The sequence below is a fragment of the Homo sapiens genome, chromosome 9 (genome assembly GCF_000001405.40).
Source record: "Homo sapiens chromosome 9, GRCh38.p14 Primary Assembly".
NCBI classification, from domain to species: Eukaryota; Metazoa; Chordata; class Mammalia; order Primates; family Hominidae; genus Homo; species Homo sapiens.
Genome location: NC_000009.12, coordinates 136832596 through 136848881, shown reverse-complemented (window position 1 = coordinate 136848881; position 16286 = coordinate 136832596). Strand labels below are relative to the sequence as shown.

At 66.0% G+C, this 16286-nt stretch overlaps 2 protein-coding genes across 4 annotated transcripts in view, besides 12 other annotated features; both read right to left on the bottom strand.

Annotated features, from left to right (window-relative positions):
- Window positions 22-81: a silencer, noted in NCBI's record as "silent region_20551". NCBI's record gives its function as "represses an Ori minimal core promoter by ATAC-STARR-seq in GM12878 lymphoblastoid cells {active_cell/tissue: GM12878}" and the evidence as "EXISTENCE:reporter gene assay evidence [ECO:0000049][PMID:35858748]".
- On the bottom strand, window positions 81-6404 carry AJM1 (apical junction component 1 homolog). Its single transcript, NM_001080482.5, has 3 exons — window positions 6293-6404; window positions 4603-4686; window positions 81-4526 (listed from the first exon to the last, which is right to left on the bottom strand). Exon 3 carries the CDS (start codon window positions 4465-4467, stop codon window positions 1537-1539), a length of 2931 nt encoding a protein of 976 aa, NP_001073951.2. The 5' UTR covers window positions 4468-4526; window positions 4603-4686; window positions 6293-6404; the 3' UTR covers window positions 81-1536.
- Window positions 302-531: a silencer, noted in NCBI's record as "silent region_20550". NCBI's record gives its function as "represses an Ori minimal core promoter by ATAC-STARR-seq in GM12878 lymphoblastoid cells {active_cell/tissue: GM12878}" and the evidence as "EXISTENCE:reporter gene assay evidence [ECO:0000049][PMID:35858748]".
- Window positions 1012-1061: a silencer, noted in NCBI's record as "silent region_20549". NCBI's record gives its function as "represses an Ori minimal core promoter by ATAC-STARR-seq in GM12878 lymphoblastoid cells {active_cell/tissue: GM12878}" and the evidence as "EXISTENCE:reporter gene assay evidence [ECO:0000049][PMID:35858748]".
- Window positions 4398-5278: an enhancer, noted in NCBI's record as "H3K27ac-H3K4me1 hESC enhancer chr9:139738056-139738936 (GRCh37/hg19 assembly coordinates)". NCBI's record gives its function as "activates a minimal SCP1, AML or CMV promoter by ChIP-STARR-seq in primed H9 embryonic stem cells {active_cell/tissue: H9 hESC(primed)}" and the evidence as "EXISTENCE:reporter gene assay evidence [ECO:0000049][PMID:30033119]".
- Window positions 5279-6159: an enhancer, noted in NCBI's record as "H3K27ac-H3K4me1 hESC enhancer chr9:139737175-139738055 (GRCh37/hg19 assembly coordinates)". NCBI's record gives its function as "activates a minimal SCP1, AML or CMV promoter by ChIP-STARR-seq in primed H9 embryonic stem cells {active_cell/tissue: H9 hESC(primed)}" and the evidence as "EXISTENCE:reporter gene assay evidence [ECO:0000049][PMID:30033119]".
- Window positions 5279-7041: a biological region, named in NCBI's record as "H3K27ac-H3K4me1 hESC enhancers GRCh37_chr9:139736293-139737174 and GRCh37_chr9:139737175-139738055".
- Window positions 5935-6264: a silencer, noted in NCBI's record as "silent region_20548". NCBI's record gives its function as "represses an Ori minimal core promoter by ATAC-STARR-seq in GM12878 lymphoblastoid cells {active_cell/tissue: GM12878}" and the evidence as "EXISTENCE:reporter gene assay evidence [ECO:0000049][PMID:35858748]".
- Window positions 6160-7041: an enhancer, noted in NCBI's record as "H3K27ac-H3K4me1 hESC enhancer chr9:139736293-139737174 (GRCh37/hg19 assembly coordinates)". NCBI's record gives its function as "activates a minimal SCP1, AML or CMV promoter by ChIP-STARR-seq in primed H9 embryonic stem cells {active_cell/tissue: H9 hESC(primed)}" and the evidence as "EXISTENCE:reporter gene assay evidence [ECO:0000049][PMID:30033119]".
- Window positions 6291-6585: an enhancer, noted in NCBI's record as "tiled region #13741; HepG2 Activating non-DNase unmatched - State 1:Tss, and K562 Activating DNase matched - State 25:Art". NCBI's record gives its function as "activates a minimal TATA promoter and a strong SV40 promoter by Sharpr-MPRA in HepG2 and K562 cells {active_cell/tissue: HepG2 | K562}" and the evidence as "EXISTENCE:reporter gene assay evidence [ECO:0000049][PMID:27701403]".
- Window positions 6575-6714: an enhancer, noted in NCBI's record as "active region_29328". NCBI's record gives its function as "activates an Ori minimal core promoter by ATAC-STARR-seq in GM12878 lymphoblastoid cells {active_cell/tissue: GM12878}" and the evidence as "EXISTENCE:reporter gene assay evidence [ECO:0000049][PMID:35858748]".
- Window positions 7211-7505: a silencer, noted in NCBI's record as "tiled region #5679; HepG2 Repressive DNase unmatched - State 5:Enh". NCBI's record gives its function as "represses a minimal TATA promoter and a strong SV40 promoter by Sharpr-MPRA in HepG2 cells {active_cell/tissue: HepG2}" and the evidence as "EXISTENCE:reporter gene assay evidence [ECO:0000049][PMID:27701403]".
- RABL6 (RAB, member RAS oncogene family like 6) overlaps window positions 7695-16286 on the bottom strand; it is a 33240-nt gene continuing 24648 nt past the window's right edge. For 2 of the 3 annotated variants that reach the window (NM_001173988.2, NM_024718.5), the window contains exons 8-15: window positions 13037-13140; window positions 11220-11536; window positions 10867-11020; window positions 9761-9973; window positions 9396-9660; window positions 9017-9188; window positions 8670-8728; window positions 7695-8560 (exon numbers count right to left, since the gene is read on the bottom strand). In NM_001173988.2, coding sequence (NP_001167459.1) covers window positions 8360-8560; window positions 8670-8728; window positions 9017-9188; window positions 9396-9660; window positions 9761-9973; window positions 10867-11020; window positions 11220-11536; window positions 13037-13140 — 1485 coding nt within the window. In that variant the 3' untranslated portion in view covers window positions 7695-8359. Of the gene's footprint in view, window positions 8561-8669; window positions 8729-9016; window positions 9189-9395; window positions 9661-9760; window positions 9974-10866; window positions 11021-11219; window positions 11537-13036; window positions 13141-14462; window positions 15163-16286 lie in introns of those variants that run through there. The other variant, NM_001173989.4, reaches the window with a different exon arrangement.
- Window positions 9685-10566: an enhancer, noted in NCBI's record as "H3K27ac-H3K4me1 hESC enhancer chr9:139732768-139733649 (GRCh37/hg19 assembly coordinates)". NCBI's record gives its function as "activates a minimal SCP1, AML or CMV promoter by ChIP-STARR-seq in naive H9 embryonic stem cells {active_cell/tissue: H9 hESC(naive)}" and the evidence as "EXISTENCE:reporter gene assay evidence [ECO:0000049][PMID:30033119]".

The window sequence follows — 16286 nt, the reverse complement described above, 5'->3', positions numbered from 1 at the left end:
CCTCTCCCTTTCTCCTCTCCACCGACCGAAGGCTTCCGTCCCCAACCCCGCTACCGGTACAAGGAGGCAACGGCAGCCGCTACATTCAAGTTCTATTTTACTTGGTTCGAAAGCTCTTGCCCCCTGGAAATTATTCCGGTCCAGGGGCGTTCCCGGCCGGCCCTCAGGGGTGGGGCCGAATGCAGAGGCCCTGGGGTAGGGGGCGCGGGGCGCGGCGGCGGGTGGGCAAGCGGGACGCCTGGCCGGTGCAGACGCGCGGGGACGAGATGGGCGTGCCGGGTGCGAAAGCAGGAGCGGAGGCGGGGGTGCCCAATTTCTCTCACTTGGTGCCCCCTCCCCTGGCTCCGAAGTAGGGCTGGGGACTCCAGGAGGGCCCTTGCGTTTGGCCTCCACCCCTCTCCCGCATACCCCACCCTCCAGAGAGCTCTGGGCGCGGACCAGGGTGCACTTGGGGGACAGGTGGAGGCCGGGCCGCCGGGCTTGCGCCTCCACGCCCGCAGTACGGCGTGCGGCCAGAGCGGGTGTGCGGGGACCTCTCGGGACAGGTCAAGCCCCCTCGGGTGGGCTTCCACGCTTACCAACTAGCTCTCTCCCTCACCTGCTCGCACCACGCTTTGCCCTCCAGGCTCCCACCTGGGAACGCCCCGTCCCTTGGTCCTTCCTCTCCTAGCCAGGTGTCAGCTCTGGCCAGGCCCAGGTGCTCTGCTTCCCCTGTTCAGGTCCCCTGCCCCTTCGGCTGGGAGACTTGCATATCGGCCTGAAGACCTCCCTGCGGTTTTTCCCAGCTCCTGCAGGGCCCAGACTGCAGCGGCTGGAGGCGAAGGGACGGCAGGGCGCGTGGCGTGGTTAGTGTGCTGGCTCCGACCAGCGGGAACGCACTGCGCACCGTCCGCCCTGCCCACCGCCTCGGCGGGACGCGCTCGCGCACACGGACGCACAGAGGTCGACCAGGGTGTTCTCCAGCGAGGAGGCAACACAGCCGCGGGAGGCGGGGCGGGGCGTGTTTAAAGTGACAGACTGGGCTTTGGTTACGTCGGGCTTCTGGACGAGGGGAAACCGGAGTCGGGGAGGCTCCAGCGAGAGCCCCGCGGACCGACGGGGACCGGATCTCTACGGGTGGGGTCTGTGCAGTAGTGACCCCTCCGAGTGAAGGCAGAGCTCGGCGGTCCTCAGGCCCACCCCGCCTCCCAGCGGGGAGCACCGAGGGCGAGGACCGACTTCTTCTGGGGATCCTCGAGGGCGAGCTGGGAGAGGGAGGAGGCCCGGAGGAGGGAGAGGGGTTGCTGGGGGTGGGAAGGCGAAGGGCCTGTGAGGAACACTACGGGGACGAAGGGCCGGGGGGTGGGGGCCTGGGCGGAGCTGGAGGCCGAACTGAGCGGAGCTTGGAAGGCTGGGGAATTAGAGGCGGGGCCTAGAAGAAGTCGGGGTGGGGCCCTGGCGGGGCTCGGGGGCGGCCCTGGGTGGGCCGGGCGGGGCCTGAGTGGGCAGGGCAGGGTTCGGGCCAGCGCCTGGGCTAGGCCTGGTGGGCCCGGCGCCTCACATGATGTCGTCCAGCAGGTTGGCGCTGGCCACCCAGTCGAGCGCGCGCGGCTCGGAGGCGGCCATGATCATGCACATGAAGGGGCGGCCGGTGCGCCGGTCCGTGGGGTAGATGGTGGTGGGCGTGAAGCGCCTGTTGGCCTCGACGAACTCGCAAAGCTGCTCGTAGACGCGCGGGAACTCGTGGCGCAGGAAGACGCCGCGCAGCCGCAGCTCGCGCTGGATGTGGATGAAGGCCACCTCGCGCGCGCGCCGGCCCGCCTCGCCGTCCTGATCCAGGCCCGCCGTGCCCGGCGGTGGCGTCAGGATCAGCGTCTCCATGTCGGGCTCGCGGCTCCGCGCCGGGGGCGGCCGCGCGGGGCTGCCGGCCGCCAGCGCTACCTTGGCGAACTTGCGCACTGTTGGCCCGTGGCTGCGTGGCGCGGGCGCGGGCAGGGCCGGTGTCCCCGGTGGCGCGGTGCCGGGTCCCACGGCCACGGACACGCTGAGCAGGAAGCACTCTGCCGGTTCGTAGAGGCGCCCAGCGGCCGCCAGCTCGCGCGCGTAGCTGCCCAGGGGCGCCGCGTGTGTGGCCAGCTCACGCAGCGATAGGTAGGTGGGGGATAGCAGCAGCCCCTCCAGGCCAAAGCGCAGGAAGTTGTCGGCCGAGCCTGGACTTGGGAAGCCCAGGAAGAGCACGCCGCGGCCGCGCGACAGGAAGCCGACACGCGCGATGCGCGAGAAAGCGCGGTGCACCGGGCCGCTGTCGCGGCAAAACTGCAGTACGTGGCGGCACACGCTGCCCACGCGGCCGTACACGCAGCGCGCCTTGTGGGCGTCCCAGTCCTCGCGGCGGCACAGGCGCGAGCAGTAGTAGGTGTAGCAGCTGTGGCAGGACTTGAAGTAGAGGCAGGCGTTGAACATGGTCTCGGTGCGCCGGCAGCGCGCATTGGAGCAGGTCATCAGGTCGTCCTCGTCGGCGCTGGGTTCGGGGGACGCGTCGGCCGCCTCTCCCGGGGCCGCGGGCTCCTCGGCGCTGCCGGCCGAGGCGGGGGGCGAGCGTGGCGGCGCCAGCGCGGGGGCCCCGGAGCCCGCGGGCCGCGAGTCCAGCAGTCGGCGCAGTTGGGGGCCCAGGCAGTCGGCCGCGGGCTCTGAGGCCTGGCCGGCGGTGGGTCGCGAGTCGATGACCAGGTCCGTGATGAGCTCGTCCAGCTGCTCTAGGCTCCGCTGGCGGCCAGAGGTGGGGCCGTCGGGGGCCGCGTGGGGAGGTGGCCGCGTGCGGCCCCCGGGCAACTCCCAGGCCCTGGCGCTCGGGCGCTCGGTGGCGCGCAGGTCATTGTCAGTGATGGTGATCTCGGGCGTCACGTACCAGTTGCGGCCCAGGCCCTCGCCCGCGCGGCCCTTCTCCGTCAGCGACGTCTCGGACAGGGACAGTGCGGCGTAGCGTCTGGGAGAGGTGGACAGGTTCACGACGACGGGCGGGCGCCGGCCTTCGGGGGACACGCCTCGCGGCTCCCGCACCTCGCGCCCCAGCAGGTTCTCGTAGCTGCGGCCGCGGCCCAACGGGTCTTCTCGGCGCGGCCCCGGGGCCAGAATGTTGTCCCAGGAGCGCGAGTAGTGGCGGCTGTCGGTGGCCAGCCGGGGCGGACTGGTGCCGGTGCCGCCGTGCCAGGAGGCGAGCAACGGGTCGGGGTCAGAGGGCGGCACCACTTGCAGGGTGCGGTACGGTCGCGGGCCCCAGTCCGCCCAGGCCGGGCTGCTGCGCGGGTGCGGGTACGTCCGAGCCAGGACGTCACGCTCGCGGTACCTTCCGAAGTCCTCCGTGTAAAAGGGGCGGGCGGTGGAGTGGGCCCGGGGCTCCTCGGGGACATAGCGGGGCCCGTAGGGCAGGCCGTAGGCTCGTGGAGCCTCCCCATAGTAGGAGCGGGAGGGCGGTTCCTGGATTGGGAAGGTGCGCACCTCTCCTGCGTAGTAGCCGCCCATGCGCCTTGGACTGGGCCCCGAGAGCTCCTCGGACGGATAGGGCCTGGGGTAGTAGGCGTCGAAGGTTGGGCCGGGACTGGCTGCAAAGCTGCCCCGGAAGCCTTGGGGCTCCTCTGTATAGAAGAACTGGGTGGGGCCCGGCGGGGTGGTGAAGGGCAGACTGCGGCGCTCGGCGTAGTCCCGGGGCCCAGGCAGGGGCCCGTCGCAGTAGAACGCCCGGGGATCCGCACAGTATGAGTCGCTGGGCGTCGGGGTGCGCGACAGCGCCATGTGGCGGGGCCCGGGCACCGTGAGGCCGTGGAACTGCGGGGCGGGGCGGGCCCAGTGCGCGGCCTCGGTGGGCCCGCAGGACCGCGAGCCCCGGGTGGCGTGCTGGAGCACTGCGTCGTCTGGCTTGATGTCCAGGCGGCAGCGCACGTGGGGGGCGGGACCCGCGGGTGGCTCGGGCGGTGCGCAGCGGCCCGCGGCGGCGCACAGGGGCGCGACGCGGCCGGGGCCGCCCCGCTGCGGCTGCAACTTGATGGGATGCAGCTCGTTGGCAAGGGCGCGGAGCGCCGGGTACGCGGGCTCCCGGCGCGGCGATGCCTCGGCCCGCGCCGCACGCTGGGCCTCCCGCCCTCGGCGGGGCAACACCGGCGGCGAGGCGGGCGCGGGCGTCAGGCCCGGGGGCGCGCGGGGCGCACTCTTGGAGCGGGCGCGGCGGCGTGGCTCGGCTTCGCGGGTCCGGGCGCGCGGCACAGCGGACTCCGGCGGCGGTGGCTCCGGCAGGGTCTCCATGGCCGGCCCGTCCAGCGCCTCCAGGAAGTCGAAGCTGCGGCAGTGGCGCTTGTTGAAAGGCGCGGGCTCAGCAGGCCGGGCCACGGATCGCTCACATGGCGAGCACTTGGACGCGGGTCCCGGGGTCGCCACCTTGATGTCCTGGTACACGGTCGACACCAGCAGGTCCGGAGGGTCCGTACGGGTCATCTTAAAAGAGGTCCCCAGGCTGGCGGCTCCAGCTCACACTGCCTTGCGGGGCTTTTGCCCTGGGGGGAGACGCGGGTCAGGGCGGCCCCCTCCGCAGCCCAGGCCCCGCTACTCCCCCACGCTGGCCCGGCTTACCTGGGGCGCAGCGGGCGGAGCAGCCCTGGCTGCGGGCCTGGGCCGAGAACGCGGGCGCTTCCTCCATGCCGGGGTCAGAAGCACCTGCGGGAGGAACCCAGCTGTCCAGGCGCCCGTCCTGCCCGTCCCCCCGTCCTCTCCCTGCGATGGGGCGGGCGGGCCAGAAAGGCTTAGCCGTGGTTGTGGTTCCCGCGGCGGGAGCTCCCGCGTGAAGCTCCAGGGCCTCCCCTCCCCCGACTAGTGACGGCGGGGTCGGCTCGGGTGGACCCCTTTCCGGGTGGGGTAGGGGAGTGGGGGCGTGGTCCTGGGGCTGCGCCCTCTGGTGTCCGCAGTTGGAAGGACGGGCCGCATTTGGGCCTTATTTATAGGTGTTGCCCCAGGAGACGTCAGTGACTGCGCCCCCGTCACAGCGCCCACTGCAGAGCGACCCCTCCGATCGCGCACAGTGGAAGGCGAGTCCCTGGGCCTCAGCCTTAGCCGGCTCTGCACCAAGTGGGTGACACCAACCACCCCACCTGCTGGCCGGGCCGAGCACAGAGCCCCGCCCCCAGCACTGCAAGGACCCACGCCTAGGTGCCCTCAACTTCCCGCGAGCCCCAGGCCAGAAAAATGCCCCCAGAGAGCATACCCGGGCCCTAAATCTCCCTTTCCTCTGCCGACACCTTTTCTGACCCCAAGTATCTTTGGGTGGTTGAAACAAGGCCCCAGCTTTGTGTAAACGCACAGGACACCCCCCTAGGGTTTGCAAGGCAGTCCCAAGCCATCGAGCCGCGAGCTCGTGGCAGCCCCTCCTCTGAGCTGCGCACCAGGCCTGGAAGCTGCCCGCTGGGGGTGGGCAGGGCGGAGGGTGGGGGAAGCCCCACTGCTTTGCAGGAGAGGGCCCTCCCCATTTCGCTCAGAAGGTTCCATGGAAACCTGCATTTCTTAGGCCCCCACGCGGCAGGCTGGCCTGGGTTCAGATGTGGGCTGCCAACCCCTCTGTGATCCCAGAGCCAGCTGGGGGGTGCGTCAGAGAGTGGCCACAGGCCTGGCCTCTGCACACCCAACACCTGGTCTGGGGGGTCTACCCCAGAGTGAGCTGGGGAAAGCGGGTACCTGGCCAGGCCCCTTGCAGGGCAGAACCTCAGGTGGATGGGCCTCTCGGGGTCTGGCCGGGTCCCCCCTCTGTGTCCCAGGTGTGCAGGGGCTTCCTGCTGGCAGGGCTGTTTTTCTGGGTCAGGGCCACGAGTCCCAGGCCTTGTGCCCATCCCAGCCTCCCCCGCCCACCCCCCCATCTCCCCCCTCCACCCCACCCGTGGCAGGACTGTCTACCCTCCTGCTCCCTCTTTCATGCTAAGCTCAAGGCCAGGCCGGAATCCGGCCGGATGACAGGGTGTGAGGCTCCACCCCAGGGAGGTGACAGTCGGCCTTGCTGGCTGCAGCTGTCGGTGACACCCCCTCCCGTGGGGATGGGGGTGGGGTCGGCCCTCTCCCGGGCCCAAGGCCTTCTGGAGCCCACGGAGATGGCTGGCGGCCTTCCCCACCTCCCAGCCCTGCCTTGCCTTGCCTTGCCCTGGCTGGGAGCGGCCCTTCAAGGGATACAGCCGGTGTTGCCTGGGGGCGGGGACTCCCCATCCTTTCGGCTGCCCTAAGGCAGCTTCCCCCGCCCATGACGGTGACACACTCAGCAACTCGGCCCCTAGCCCCTTACCTGGGTGCTGCTCTGGCTGTGCCCCGGTGGGCTGTGCCACCCCCAGGTCGGCTCCTCTGTGTCCCCGGCACTGCTGCGTCCCCGGCACGGGCAGAAGCTTCCAGGCAGCAGCGCGGATCCTGGCCTGGCTGCTCAGTGCTGCCCCTGATGGCAGCTGAAGGGGCTGTACTTAAAGGGGCCGCACCCAGTGGGGGCTGCACCGTGGAGCTGGGGATCATGAGCTGCACTGGCTCCAATTTGGGGCTGTGCAGAGCACAGGGTCCCTGCAGCACCCCCAAGACACAGACCTCAGTGTCTAAGCAGGAGTCTTGTGGCCCGGAGCAGCCTGCCAGTCCCGCCAGTGTCACCCCAACACACTTGCCTGAGAGGAGGGGCCCGAACCCTGGCCTGGGCTGCAGAGATTGGTCAGGGGCATCTTGGAATTCGCATCTCCTGTCGGGCGAGGCAGGAGCAGATGGGCTACTCTGTGCCCCACTGGCCTCTCCCCAGGCCCTATCTGCTTCAAGGCTGCCAATGCCAAAATCTTGGCGGGTACCTGGGGCCAGATGGCCCCTGCAGCCTCTTGTGTCCCCAGGATGCCATCCTCTCTGGGTGAGGCCACTCCTGCATCCGGTCCCTGCCAGCCTGGGAAGGCCTGCACGTGACCTGCCATACCTGCCTGGTAATGTCCTCGTCCCACTCTGCCAGCCCCTCCCCAAGGCATTGGGCCTGGGAACGTTCTAGCTTGGCAGAGGGGTGGGGAGCTGATGCCCTTGGCTCTGAAGGGCAGGACCTACCCCATTCTGCACTGTTCAAAGCAGGGCCCACTGAAACCCCAACATAGCCGTCCATGGTGTGATCCTGTCAAGTTCACGTACTGTCGACCCATCCCCACACCAGGCGAACCCCTGAACCCGGCCCTGACCTCATGGGCTGTGGGCTAAGGGGCCAGGCTAAGCTTGCTGTGGGCCACAGCACCTGCTCAGGGACTGCAGTGACTGCCCAACACCCTGGGGCCACAAGGCTCCCAGGCAGAGGAGCCTCCAGCTTGGCCACCTCCTCCCCTTCACTGGCACACTCTTCCTGCCTGCCCTGCAGGGTTCTCATGGCAACAGTAGCTGTGGGGGTGGAGGCTGGGCGCTGCTGACAGCTGGAGGGGGCAGGAGCCTGAAGGCGGGGGGCAGGGCTGCAGGCGGCTGCCTGGGAGCCTTGCAGAGTGGACTTCCACCTCCTGGGGCTGAGGTCGCCAAGCGTGCTGCGTGCAGCTGCTGAGCCCTGGCACAGGTGGGCTGGAATGTACCCAGGGTGTGGCCAGACTTGGTGGGACGTCCTCACACCACTGCTGGGCAGCCTCCTGCCAACCCACGGCAGCCTGGGCCCGGGGCAGCGGGAGCAGAGGTACAGGCAGAAGAACAGACACACGCAGAGTGAAACAGGAGTGCTTTATGGTCTGAGTGGAGTGTTTGGGAGGAGTGCCTCCCGGCTCCTGCCTTCGGGCTCACCTGAGCGGGGGCGCAGCTGAGGCCACTGTGGGAAACACAACCCCCACTCCCAGGAGAGGCCTCACATGCTGCCTTCGGTCTCGCCAGCCTTCTAGCGTGGGGCCTGGGCCGCCCTTTAGGGTGAGTCTGCACACCCGTGTTCAGGGCTCCCGGCCGGAAGCGGAACCATAGGCATGCTGCGGCCCCAGATGAGCGCGGAGGGCAAGCAGGTGCCGGGGCAGCGCACACCCCACAGCCAAGCGGCCCCTGCCCAGCCTCTGTAAACAGACCCTCACAGGTCCCTCCTGGGCCTCAGTCACATCCCTGAGAAACACTGGCGGCTCTGCCCCGAGAGGGCCAGGGTGTCCACCGAGCCTGGCTGAAGCCAGCTGTCCCCTCCCTTCTTGCAGAGCAGGCTCACACTGGGCCTGAAGGCCCAGCACCTGCAGGGCCCAGCCTGGGGACCACCAATGCCCGGCCTCTTCCAGCTCAGAAGCGCACACGGCAGCCACGGGGCAGCGGCAAAGGCGATGGTACAGAGGCAAATGCCTCCCCAGGCAGTGACAGGCACGCCCCCCGCCCCAGGGCGGCCACTGCCCACGCCGGCCTAGAGCTCCTCGTAGTCGCCACCCCCAGGGTGGCGGCCGCCCGGGGCCCCGCCCCCCAGGAAAGCCTCCAGCTCATCGGCAGCCGTCCTCTCCCTGCTGCGCGGGGGCCGCTGCTGCCGCCGTCGCCGCTCCTCCTTGCCCTCCTCCTTGTCCTTGCTCTTCTTGTGTTTGCTCTTCTTCTTGGCAGCTTTTTCTTCTTCCTGAGGAGCACAAGGATGGGGCGCCATGGAGTCACAGGAAGCCACAGCCCTGGTCCCAGGACCGCATGCCACCCAGTCCTGGCCTGCCAGGAAGGGGAGTAGCCAGTACCTCTTTGCCTTTTTTCTTCTTCTTCTTCTTCTCCTTAGAGGGGGTTTTGCCCTCCTTACCTGCACAGACAGGACAGACAGTGGCTCAAACTCAGGCCAACGGGGACCCCAAGCTGGGTGACAGGACTTCTCTAGAAACTCACAAAGCAGCGAGCCCCAGCCCTCCAGGAGGCCCTGCTGATGGACAGGACCACACTGCAAACATCAGCTCCTGCAGGGGGCTGCCAGGAGCATGGCACAGCATCCTGGACTCAGGAGAGGACCCCGGCCAGCGGCCAGCAGCTGGGAGGAGGCCCACGTTCTACCCAAACTCCAGCAGGCTGACCGCACTCTGGTGCCCCCACCCACCTTCCTCACTGCTCTCCTTGGGTCCGGCCTCCTCCAGCCCCAGCCCGAAGAGGTCCGAGTCATTCTTCAGTCTGAAGGCGGGGAGAGGGAGCTTGGGGGGTGGGGGCGGCTCGGCAGGGCCCTCATCCTCGTCAGTCACATCGGAGGGGTCATCTCGCACGGGAAAGTCATCCTGGAGCAGGGAGAGCAACTGGTCAGGCCATCATCCCTCCCACACCCCCAGGGGTTGTGGGATCTCAAACCAGGCCGGCAAGGCCCAAGTGTGGGGACATGAGATGCCTCTTCCAGAAGCCTCCTCCCACTGCACCCACCCAGATCAGGCCTGTGGGAGGGACCCTGGCCACCTGGCTGACCTCTGCCCCGGGAGGACTCGTCTTACCGCCCTGCGCTGTGTGTCTGATCCCTCGCTCTCAAAGTCGGGGTCATCCATGACGAAGGACAGCATTTGTGCAGCAATGGGTCCCTCGGGGTCACTCTCCGACGAGGAGGCCTGCTCACCCTTCCCCGGCTCCATCTCAGCAGGGGGCCTGGTGCTGCTGCGCTTCTCCGGACCTGTGCGAACAGAGACACCGCCTGGCCAGGGGGGTGCTGCGGTCCTCGTGGGAGCTGTCCCCCTCCGTGGCTTCGAAGCTGGTATGGAGGACCTTTGTGGACAAGCAGAGGGTCAGTCAGGGTCCTCTGGAGGCGTCCTGAACTGCCCCACCCGGGTCTCCAGGCCGCACCCGTGGGGACACCTGCCCTTACCACTTGGTCTCTGGCTCTGAGCACTGCTGGGGAGCTGGGGCAGGGCCTTTTGTGGGAGCTGCCACTTCTGCTTCCTCCTCACTCGAAAGAGTGATGTCTTGACTGGGGACGGGGCCTGCAGGCAGCGGGGGACTCCCACGTGGCTGGTCTTCGAGGTCCACATCGTCCTGGAACCCTGCCACCATCGGGTTGCCGCCCAGGGCCTCCCCATCACTGCAAAGCAGGGGGCAAAGCGGTCAAGGGCCACGGGGTAGGGATGGCTGGCCGGGCTCACGGGCCTTGGTTCTAGGCGCCCTGGTACCCAGCACACCCTGGCCGTGGGGCCACCCCACCCCAGGTGCTGTGTTGTGGAGAGGCCCCCTCATGGTCACAGGGCTTCTGAGCAGGAAGGGGTCGGGGGCACAAGGTTGGACACAGTGCTGCCCTGCGGCCGCTCAGTGGGTGAAGGATGTGGAGCCGCACAAGTGGGCGCTCGTGGAGGAGGCGGGCCCAGCTCAGGGCCACGGGGCTTTCTGTCCTTTGTGTATTTCTGGAGGAAGCCGCTGCCCCACAGCAATGGGTGAGGCTGAGGTGCTGAGGCCACTGTGGGTGGAGCTTGTCCAGGGCTGTCCTGGGACCAAATGCAGGGCTTTGCTGCAGGCAAAATTTGGGGCAGCTTGGCAGACAGAGTGGTGGGAGGGGCTGGCAGATGGCTGGGGAGGCGGCTCTAGCTCCCAGCTCTAGGACCTGCAGGAAGCCGCCCCTGTCTCTGCAGCACCTGGATCCTGGCCCTGTGGAGACCACATCTGGTGGCCTGAACCTCCCATATGACCTGCAGTGGCCTCTCCAATGGCTTCCATGTGGCATCTGCCCACAGAAGACCCCAAGGTGCCCCTGTCCTCTCCAGGGTGTGGGCAGAGCAGGTGGCCAGGCCTTTCTGATGTCTGGAAGCCCCGTCCAAGCCCTTCCCTCGTCTGCTCCAGCCACAGAGCTGCTCTGTCCTCAGCCAACAGTGACCAGCCGGCGGGGGGCCCCTTCTGCGCCCCTAGAAAGCCAGCCCCACCTGCTGCTCGGGCACCCTGGAGGCTGGGGGGCAATGGGAGAGGAGGCCCAGGCCCACCCCTCACCTGTCGCTGTCCTGCTGGGCAGCCTTGGCCCCCACCTTCTTCTCGTCCCTGGCGGGGGTTGTGTCTTCCAGGAAGCTGCGGTCCAGGCGGTCGTCAGGAACAAAGTCCTCCACACTCTGGACCGTTGCTGGGCCCTCTGCGGCCGGGACTGGCTCTGTGAACAGTGATGCCGGGTCCTCTTCACTCGGCACCAGAACCCTCACTGCACCCAACCCCAAGCCAGGCCCACCCGGGATGTGCCCACGGGACTGGGACAAGCAGGAAGAAGCGTGGAGCGCTCCGAAATCCAGGACCCCACCTGTGAGGGCCTGGGGGTCTGGGACCAGTTTGGGAGGGGCAGCTCCAGGGCCTACCTGGAGGTGGAGGGGCTGCCTCGGTGGCAGGTGACGTCCCAAACAGCCTAGAGATGATGCTGCGCCGTGGGGCGGGGGCTGAGGGGCACGCAGGTGGGGGCAGGGCCTCTGAGGGTGGTACAGGGGGCACAGAGGATGGTGGGGCGGCATTGAGGGGCAGCTGTGGGGCGGGCTGGGGTGTGCCGGGGCTGGAGCTCCCCGTGGACACAGCGCCTGCAGGCACCACTGGTGACTGGGAGCCCGGGGATGGGCTCTGCCCGTTGGCCGCCAGTGGGGACGCATGGCCACGGCTGCGAGCCTCCATCATCTCCAGGAAGCTGAAAGGCAGAAGGCGGGTGAGAAGCCTGGCTCCCCTGCCTCTCCCTGAGGCCCTCAGGTGACAGGGGGCTCTCTGCTGCTGCTGCTGGGGCTGGGAAGAGCCACTGTGTTCTGGGCCACCCGCCCCACAGAGGCCATCATCCCCATCCACTTCCAAGGGCAGCAGTGCCAGCCAGGCACGGTGGCTCATGCCTGTAATCCCAGCACTGTAGGAGGCCAAGGCAGGCAGATCACGAGGTCAGGAGGTGGAGACCGTCCTGGCTAACGCAGTGAAACCCCGTCTCTACTAAAAATACAAAAAAAATTAGCCGGGTGTGGTGGCGGGTGCCTGTAGCCCCAGCTACTTGGGAGGCTGAGGCAGGAGAATGGCGTGAACCCGGGAGGCGGAGCTTGCGGTGAGCCGAGATCACACCACTGCGCTCCAGCCTGGGCGACAGAGCGAGACTCCATCTCAGAAAAAGAAAGAGCAGCAGTGCCAAAGGGTGGGGACAGCAGGCACCAGCGTACATGTGTCCAGCTCCCCTGAAAGTCACTTCGGATCTGTTCTGAGGCACAGCTGTTGGGGGCTCCATGCAGAGGTGGCCAGATGGCAGCAACTGGACCTTCCCGTGAGCGGGGGTTTCTGGGAAGAGGAGGGGGCTGGGGCTTGGTGGAGCACGTGCGGCCATCGCAGCATCCAGCTGACCCAACTCTCAGGCCCAGGAAATGCCAGGATTGGTTCAACAGAGAAGCGCCCATGCGGGGGGCTCCATTCTGGGGCTGGCCTGGCAGCTGGAAGCCACGGGTCCCTCTCCAGGCATCAAACTGCCTTCCCTCTCGGTCTCTTGCTGTGTCTGAGCCAACAGCCAGATCCAAGGTGACCCACAGGGCTCTCCTTCTGGAAACAGAGACCTCCTGGGGGGCCTCAGGAGGGCCACTGATTCCGTGGTCCCTGCCTGGGTCCCAGGGGAGGCACCAAGCCCCTAGCTGTACAGGAGCCTGAGGCAGAGAACGGGCCAGCTGTCCCACTGGCCGCAACCCCGGGGCTATGCACTGCCCAGGCCCACTCAGGAGGATGCTCTGAGCCGCCCTCTGCTATCGAGGACCAGAGACCTCCATGTCCTGGCCTGTATGCCTCTTCAACACAGGGAGCTTCCCAAAGTCAAGCAGCTCCCCAGAAAGCACACCCCATGCTGGCATCAATCTGGGAGGCCAAGCCCCTGATGGGCAGGCAGCCCCAGCAGCACTCCATGAGCACCAGCACCTGGCCACGGTCAGCGGTACTCAGAGTGGCAGGCACAGCATGACCTGTATGAGGAGTCCACGCCAGGGGTGACTGTGGGGGGGCTGCTGGGGGCAGTGCAAACCTGAGTCCTCCTCCACCCGTGCCCAAAGGTGACTAATTTACCCCAAACAGGGGACACTCCCCTCTGCTGTCTCCTTGGTGCAGCCCATGGCCCTGCACCACGGCCACGCCCGCAGCCCCCACACCGCCCGCACGGGCGGGTCCGGCCACATACATGCCGTAGTTCTGGTCCTCCGTCTCCTGCTGCACCGACAGCTCCTCCAGCGTGGCGTCCATGTCCAGCTGGTTCGTCTCCAGCTGCCGCAACAGCGTCTCCCTCTGCAGAAAGGGAGCACGCAGGCCTGAGCAGGGCTCCTTCCTGCTGCGAGTGCCCCAGCCCCACAGCCCCTGAATGCACAGGGGACGCCTCCTGCTGCCAAAACCAGGAGATGCTGCAGGGCTGGCTGCTCAGCAACTCATGGAGCTCTGCGCTGGGCCCCACTTGAACCACAGAAGCCCAGAGGATTCCTCTGCGGTGGCCGGCACGACACCTACACACTGCCAGCATGGCTTGGGGGACAGCTGTCAGTCACAGGCATAAACCTCAACAGCAAGCACCCCCACCCACACACGCACCTCTAAGAGTGAAGAAGCCGCACCTTCACCTGGGAAACAAAGCCCCTCTGCTCCCCGCCACGCACACCTCCTCTGGTGGCAGGACACATCCCCGGTGCACGCGTCGCCACCGTCCCACACCCACAAGCAGCTGGCTCTGGAGCAAACCACTGCCCTCCTGGCCTGGAACCCCAGGCTGGTCTGATGAGCTGCGGGTCCCTGTGGCTGCTCACTTTAGATTCAAATGAAATACAAACGCCGGAGCCTCACGAACTCCTGACCTCAGGTGATCCAGCTGCCTCAGCATCCAAAGTGCGAGGATGACAGTCGGGAGCCACCGTGCCCGGCCCCTTCTCTTTTTTTAAATAGAGATGGGGTCTCGCTATGTTGCCCAGACTGGTCTCTAATTCCTGGACTCAAGTGATCCTCCCAGCTTGGCCTCTGCTGAAATTACAGGCCTGAGCTACTTGCCTGGCCTCTCCTTTTTTTTTTTTTGAATCATCTTTTTCAGAGATTTTTTTTTTTTTTTTTTTTTTAGAACAGGGTCATGCTATATTATATTGCCCAGGCAGAAGATCTGGAACTCCTGGGCTCGAGCTGTCCTCCCACCTCTGCCTCCCTAACAGCTGGGATTATAGGCGTGAGCCACTGCGCCCAGCCTGGAGAGGTTTTTAAAATAAAAATGTGAGGCTGGGCGTGGTGGCTCACACCTGTAATCCCAGCACTTTGGGGGGGCCAAGGCGGGCAGATCACGAGGTCAAGAGATCGAGACCGTCCTGGCCAATATGGCAAAACCCCGTCCCTACTAAAAATACAAAAATTAGCCAGGCGTGGTGGCAGGCGCCTGTAATCCCAGCTACTTGGGAGGCTTAGGCAGGAGAATCGCTTGAACCCAGGAGGCAGAGGTTACAGTGAGGCAAGATTGCACCACCGTACTCCAGCCTGGACAGAGTGAGACTCCGTCTCCAAAAAAAAGAGTGTATTAAAGTCATTAAGGTCCCCAGGCTATAACAACAACAAAAAAATGTGATTTACAAAGAGAAATCTACAGACTTGTCAACCAAATGTAATGTGTGAACTCTGGATCCTACTCTGAATACTGACCAAATATCTGACGACTGGAAGAACTCTTTGGGAATTTTATTTTTTCAATTTGTTATTGTGGCTTATTTCTCCAAGAAAAACCTTCTGTGAGTTTAACATGCGGTATTACATTAGGTACTACGGTCAGGTTAAAAAAACAACTGATTTTTTTAGAGATGTGTTTGAAATATTTTTAGGTGACATAAAGAAGGCCTGAAATTTGCTTCCAGGCAATCCAGGGGCAAGACAAAGAGGAAACAGGGGTCCCGCTGCTGAGACAGGCGAGGACATCAGATCTGCTTGAACACATCCATAGCAAAAGGATAGTCACACACAGCTCAGCCCTACGCTTCCAGCTCAAGACTCTGTCCAGGGTCCCGTTCTCTCCCTGGGAGGCTTTGGAAGGGTTTGGAGGGCAAACCATTAGGGAATGGAGCAGCTGAGCAGTGGGGAGCTCTCTAAGGAGTAATCAACCCAGTGATGAGGGGACGGCTCTGCAGGAAGGAGGGGCCTCCCCAGCAGTGCCGGCACAGGACAAGTCTGACTGCCGCCTTCCTTCCAACCCAAACGTCCCCAGCAGCAGTCCCAGCCTGCAGGCATCCTCACTTCTTCTGACACCAGGACGACAGCACAGCCCCTTTCCTGGGCAAGCCTGACATCCTTCTGGAGAAAGACCAAGGCTGCTGCAGCTGCAGCTGGGCCCCAGGTCCCCCAGACCCAGTCGGGGCAGCCCAGGGCGAGGAGGTTCAGGTCCCCCAGACCCAGCTGGGGCAGCCCAGGGCGAGGAGGTTCAGGTCCCCAGACCCAGCTGGGGCAGCCCAGGGTGAGGAGATTCAGGTCCCCCAGACCCAGTCGGGGCAGCCCAGGGCGAGGAGGTTCAGGTCCCCCAGACCCAGGCGGGGCAGCCCAGGGCGAGGAGGTACAGGTCCCCCAGACCCAGCTGGGGCAGCCCAGGGCGAGGAGGTTCAGGTCCCCCAGACCCAGGCGGGGCAGCCCAGGCAAGGAGGTTCAGGTCCCCCAGACCCAGGCGGGGCAGCCCAGGGCGAGGAGGTTCAGGTCCCCCAGATCCAGCTGGGGCAGCCCAGGGCGAGGAGGTTCAGGTCCCCCAGACCCAGCTGGGGCAGCCCAGGGCGAGGAGGTTCAGGTCCCCCAGACCCAGCTGGGGCAGCCCAGGGCGAGGAGGTTCAGGTCCCCAGACCCAGGTGGGGCAGCCCAGGGCGAGGAGGTTCAGGTCCCCAGACCCAGGCGGGGCAGCCCAGGGCGAGGAGGTTCAGGTCCCCAGACCCAGGCGGGGCAGCCCAGGGCGAGGAGGTTCAGGTCCCCAGACCCAGCTGGGGCAGCCCAGGGCGAGGAGGTTCAGGTCCCCCAGACCCAGTCAGGGCAGCCCAGGGCGAGGAGGTTCAGGTCCCCCAGACCCAATCAGGGCAGCCCAGGGCGAGGAGGTTCAAGCCTCATCATTTGCTGGGCTACTTTGCAGCCACAGCTGGCCTGGCCCTTGTTTCTACAAAGGAAAGTGAGTTTAGTCCGTAGGCCAAAGTTGGTTCCTTGGTTTTGACACAAGCACCAGGGAAATGTGAGATGTGAACAGCGAGTACCTCGGTGACTCACGCCTGGCATCCCAGCACTTTGGGAGACAGGTGGGAGGATTGCCTGAGCCCCGGAGTTTGAGGCCGCAGTGAGCCATGATTGCGCCACTGCACTCCAGCCTGGGCCACACAGCAAGACCTTATCTCAACAAACAAAAACAACCAAAAACACTGGGGGAAACTGAGCAAGGGGTCCCCGCA

Excerpts from the sequence above, each read along its gene's own strand:
- AJM1 (NM_001080482.5), bottom strand. The coding sequence starts at position 4,467 with ATGACCCGTACGGACCCTCCGGACCTGCTGGTGTCGACCGTGTACCAG.